The sequence below is a fragment of the Homo sapiens genome, chromosome 1 (genome assembly GCF_000001405.40).
Source record: "Homo sapiens chromosome 1, GRCh38.p14 Primary Assembly".
NCBI classification, from domain to species: domain Eukaryota; kingdom Metazoa; phylum Chordata; class Mammalia; order Primates; family Hominidae; genus Homo; species Homo sapiens.
In genome coordinates, this window is record NC_000001.11 from 236316601 (window position 1) to 236322736 (window position 6136).

Below are 6136 nucleotides of genomic sequence, written 5' to 3' on the forward strand. Positions count from 1 at the left end.
CAGGCTGGCCTCAAACTCCTGGGCTCAAGCGATCCTTTCACCTCAACTTCCCAAGTAGCTGGGACTACAGGTGAATGCCATGGTACCCAGCTAGTAGCTGGCATTTTGAATGGTATACACTAATCCCTTGTTTTTGTTTGGAGGAAAGGTAAGCAGATATACATGTTTTGCAAGTCTTTAAAATAATCCAATTTGGGCCAGGTGCAGTGGCTCACACCTGTAATCCCAGCACTTTGGGAGGCCGAAACAGGAGGATTACTTGAAGCCAGGAGTTCAAGTCCAGACTGGGAAACATAGTGAGACTCTGTCTCTTAAAAAAAATTTTTTTTCACTAGTTGAGTGTAGTGGTGCACTTCAGCCTGGACTACAGAGCGAGACTCTGCCTCTATAAAACAAAAAATTCAAATAAAACTGTCCAACTTAGTCCTTAATAGGGTTTCTTATTTATTTTCTTTTTCTTTTGTTTCTTTCTTTCTTTTTTTTTTTTTTGACAGAGTCCATCTGTGTCACCCAGGCTAGAGTGCAATGGTGCAATCTTGGCTCACTGCAACCTCTGCCTCCTGGGTTCCAGCGATTCTCCTGCCTCAGCCTCCCAAGTAGCTGTGATTACAGGTGTGTGCCACCCACCATGCCTCGCTAACTTTTGTATTTTTAGTAGAGACGGGGTTTCACCATGTTGGCCAGGCTGGTCTTGAACTCCTGACTTCAAGTGATCCACCCGCCTCAGCCTCCCAAAGTGCTGGGATTACAGGCATGAGCCACCGCGCCCGGCCCAGCTTTCTCATTTCTTGATATTGCTAATGTAAGTGACTGTCACAGCAAACCACATAGCTGGGACAATTGTATCTCCCATCAGCCATGTATGGAATCTCCTTTCCTTTTAGGTTCTTACCAAACATCAGCTAGCCAGCATAGTCAGTGGATGAGTCCTTTTTTAAAATGAAATTTTTAATTTTATTTTAGTAGAGACAGGGTCTTTCTGTGTTGCCCAGGTTGGTCTCGAATTCCTGGGCTCAAGCAATCCTCCCACTTTGACATCTCCCAAAGTGCTGGCATTACAGGCATGAGCCACTGCACCTGGCCAGTCAGTGGATGATTTCTAGTTTTATTATCTAACTTATTTAACATATTTAAATTATGGAGTTTTAAAATGAACTTTTTAGTTCTTTAATAAAATTGTGTGAAAAACAAAGTATCATCATAAAATACAGGTTATACTCATTAAATAGGAATGCTCTATAATGCTTGGTGACAGAAATAGCCTCCTGGAAAGTGAGCATAGGATGAGAGAGTAGAGAGAAGTTGTTTTCAAGATATTTCTTTTTTGTTGTTGTTGTTTTGAGACAGAGTTTCGCTCTTATTGCCCAGGCTGGAGTGCAGTGGTGCGATCTCAGCTCACTGCAACCTCCACCTCCCAGGTTAAAGTGATTCTCCTGCCTCAGCCTCCGAAGTAGCTAGGATTACAGGTGCCCGCCACCATACCAGGCTAATTTTTTGTATTTTTAGTAAAGATGGGGTTTCACCATCTTGGTCAGGCTGGTCTGGAACTCCTGACCTTAGGTGATCCATCCACCTCGGCCTCCCAAAGTGTTGGGATCACAGGCGTGAGCCACCGCGCCCGGCCTGTTTTCAAGATATTTCTAGCACTGCTGGTTCTGATTCAAGTAGCGCTCACCTGGAATTCTGACCAAGGACTGCTAGGTTCCTGTGTGTGGGGCAATTATTATGGGGAGAGGAAATGGTCTGAATAGCCCCTCATACTGTCCTCTAGCCACCGTGAGAACAGGGAACCACTTGGTCCATGGTAGCTGTCATTGATTCAGTATTTTCTGTGTGCCAGGCACTGGTCTTAGTGCCTTAAGTATATTGAAAATGTTTAATCCTTCTAGCAACCCTCAGAGTTGTTTTTTCTTGGAAAAGTTGAGTAACTCGCCAAAGGTTACATATCTAGTAAATGATGGACCTGGGATTTATACCACTGAGTCTGGCTTCAGGGTCTGTACCTTATGTTTCTGTTGTTTAAGTTGGCTCAGGCCAATGAGGACTACGAGGGTGTCTAGTTTCGGAAACAAACTGGAAATGGGCAACCTAAAACTCCAGGATATTCTCTCTCTCTCTCTCTCTCTCTATCTCACACACACACACACACACACACACACACACACACACACACACACACGCACCCCTCCATTCCTCCCTGAACATCTGTTTTATCCTCGTCTGTCATTACAGATCAGAACTTTCTGCTTCTCAGTCTACATGGCAGGACATGGACAACCCCAGTACCCCGACTTCTACAGCCTCCCTTTTAAAAGCGCCTAGTCTGTGAGGGGGATACCTTGGTAATAATTCCTAATTCTCAGCAAAAGGACTTTGGCTCAGCAGGGATTAGATGTTAACTCTCAGAACAGCAACTGGGCTGAGGCAAGGACATGTGGTACAATTGTGGCTGCTCCTTCTGCAAACCTATAGGTATGAATGGACAGTTTTCTGAAAGGGGGAAAGGTAAGGGGTTGCTGTAGAGAAAGACGAAGAGGCAACCCAATAAGTATCTACTACGTTTAGATTATACTGAAACGCAAATGAGAAATATTTTTTGGACCCCTGTCTCTTCTTGAACCCATCAACTTAGGTACGCTTTTTTTTTTCTTTTGAGATAGAGTCTCACTCTGTCGCCCAGGCTGGAGTGCAGTGGCACAGTCTTGGCTTACTGCAAACTTTGCCTCCTGGGTTCAAGTGATTCTACTGCCTCAGCCTCCGGAGTACCTGCGATTATAGGCATGTACCACCACACCCGGCTAATTTTTATATTTTGGTAGAGACGGGGTTTCACCATGTTGGCCAGGCTGGTCTCGAACTCCTGAACTCAGGTGATACGCCTGCCTCGGCCTCCCAGGGTGCTGGGATTACAGGCGCGAGCCACCACGCCCAGCCAATTTAGGTATAGCTTTATGAATTTACGAAATAAGAAACAGGATCAGTAGCTATTTTTAAACCTGAAGGCACCCAATGCCATTAAGTAATGCCCATAAGGAAGCAAAAAAGGACAGAGATAAGAGTGAGCTTTACTGAGTTTCCCTAAATGGAAGATGTTAGTCTTGTTCTACTAGATCCACAACCCATGAGCCTTCCTTGACACAGAGGAAACATCCACATTAGCTGCTGTTTTAATTCTTGGAGAAGTCATAAAGTTAATAGTATTAAAAATCGCTGAAGTGGAAACTAGTGATACAAGGTGAAAGACAGTGGACTCCATATCACAGCCTCATCTGGTGCTGGTGCCTCAATCTTCACTCTTTTCTAGACCAAGGCCCATTACAGAGCTGACAGTAAAACTTAATAAGAATCTTAATAGTGGCCATTTTATCAAGATGAGAAAAATAAAAACAAGGAGACAAGTTTTTTTAAAGACCAAGATTATATAAATCATGTTGTATGTTAATATTACACATACAGTGTGGCCTCTTTACCTACAGGGTGTTTTCTTCTGAGAATTTGATACCTCCTTTGATATCTAGGATTCAGTCTTTTTAATAACTTCTAATCTGTATATATGAATTCTGGGAAATGCATATTATTTATTGTGATTTTCAAGTGAGAATTGACAATTACCTAAAATTTAAAAATATTAGTTTAAAATATTTTGTTTATCTTTGCACATTAACTCAGACAAGTCACAAATATTTCCCAAGGAGCTTCCATTATGTAGAGCAGGACAAGGGCCCCCTCTGGGGAATTTTGTTCTTCAAGGCTATTGCTGTCATACCTTTTTCCCCATCCATCTTCACTCTGTGGCTAGTATGGACTCTAACGACAGAGTTCAGTAGTCATTGGGGTATAATCAATGGTGGCAGCCCATGCCACTTGGGAATAATGCTCTCATTATTCTTGGAATCAGGCATTCCACCACCCTCTACTCCAGGTGAAAGAAATATACTGCTCTTTCTCAGCAGTGAACTTTGCTGAGGTGAAAAGGCTATTGAGTTCTTGTCTTTTATACATGAGGAAAGCCATGTCGGTGAATAGATGAGGTATCAAGGAGCATGGGTGGTGAATATGACTGCCATAAATGAATATCTCAAGTTATATGGTTACAGAATTCAAGAATAATGGGCAGATCAAAATCACAAAATTAGAGTGAGACAGTAATCTTTGATTTACATCAAAGCACAGAATTTCTCAGTGTGCAGTTGGTTCTAAATGATCTCTTAAGCAGAACATTCTGTAATGTCTTTTTGGCAGCTGGCCTTCTGTTAAACATTTGCTTAAGAATCACCATATGCTGTCGCTATTGATTTGGTCTTCCCATAGTGTAGAACTCTCAAGCCTCTCTACCCTGTTCAAAGCCTTGCCAGCTATCCTTGCCTAAAATTAAAATTTTCCAAACTGAATGACATCAAGATAGGTGTATTAATTTTCAGATGGGAAAAGGCAGAATAGTTCAGAGTGCAGGCTAGAAAGAAGTGTGACAGGCACCACAGCATGTGAAAGCTATAGGGGGACTGTAGATCTTTAGATGCCTGGGGCAAGAGATTGTGGATAAATACATGAGAACATCTAAGGCCCTGAGAAGAAGCTGTGGGACTCTTTGGGAAATTAAGACTCTTTGGGAAATTAAGACATGTAAAAAGAGATATGTATATGGGGGTAATAAAAAACATGCAAACACACACGCCCAGGCAGGGTACACGTCCAAAAGAAACCTGAGAATTCCCAAGCTGATCACGAGTCTTAGAAATTATACTGCTAATTAGGTCTTCCTTGTCACAGTACAGTCTGCAAAGACTGAGAGAGGTGGCTGTTTTAGCAAATGCCCGATTAAAAAAAAATCACAAGGCGTACAAAGAAACAGAAAAAAACATAGTCCATTCAAAGGAACAAAATAAATCTACAGAAGCTGTAATTGAAGAAGCACAGGCATTGGAATTACTAGACAAAGGCTGTAAACACGTGATCTTACATATGTTCAAAGAACTAAGGAAAAACATGGAGAAACACTAAAGGACACCAGGAAAACAACATATGAACAAAATGAGAACAACCACTACAGCAAAAGATTTAAATTATTAAAATAAAAACCAAACATAAATTCTGGAATTGAAAAATGCAATAACTATTTAAAAACTACAGCTGAGGGGTTCAACAGCAAACTTGAGCATGTAGAAGACTCAATGAACATTAAGACAGGTTATTTTTTATTTATTTATTTATTTTTTTAGATGGAGTCTTGCTCTGTTGCCCAGGCTGGAGTGCAGTGGTGCAATCTTGGCTCACTGCAACCTCTGCCTCCCAGGTTCAAACAATTAAGACAAGTTATTTTAAAGTATTGAGTCTGAGGAACAAAAAGAAAAATGATTTTTAAAAAGTGAACAGAATCCAGCTTATGGGACACCATCTAGCAGACTATTCTGTGCCTGCAACGCATGAGGGGAGAAGAAAAGACACACACACAATACCTTTAAGGGCAAACAACCTTTATCCCACATAAATGGCGATGGAGATATAATAAGCAAATGACATAATAAGCAAATTGATATAATAAGCAAACTGCAATGGGAAGGAGAGAAGGGAAAACATATATGTGTGTGTGTATATATATATATATATATATATATATATATATATTTTTTTTTTTTTTTTTTTTTTTTTTTTTTTTTTGCACTCACCAGACTATGGAGGATTCACCACCAGGCCAGGAAGCAACAGCCTGGGCTCCAGAGTCAGCCACTTGTCCGTGCACAGATGAGGAGAGGTCTCATGAAGCTTTGACGTAGTCTGGGACCCTAGCTCTTTTTGTAACAAGTTGTTTGGCATGAGGCCCAGTCAAGAGGGCCCTTCACACTGGGCTCAAGGAACACAAAAAGGTCAACTTGTTTTTGTAATCGTCTGTTATTTTTCAATAACTAATATATAGGAATAGATCAAAGTAGAGATTTCTCTGAAACAGTGTTGGATGAATGCCTCAAGGGGCTTACACAACCTGTTCCAGGACTTGGTGACCATTGTTTGTGTCCATGTTCAGTTGAGTTCAAATTTGATATTTAGCTTTTCCTCCACATTGACCAACGTAGGCATTATGAAAATTTAAGAAGTGGAAGAGACAGAGAAAGGAGTAGAGTTTATCTGAAAAAGTAAT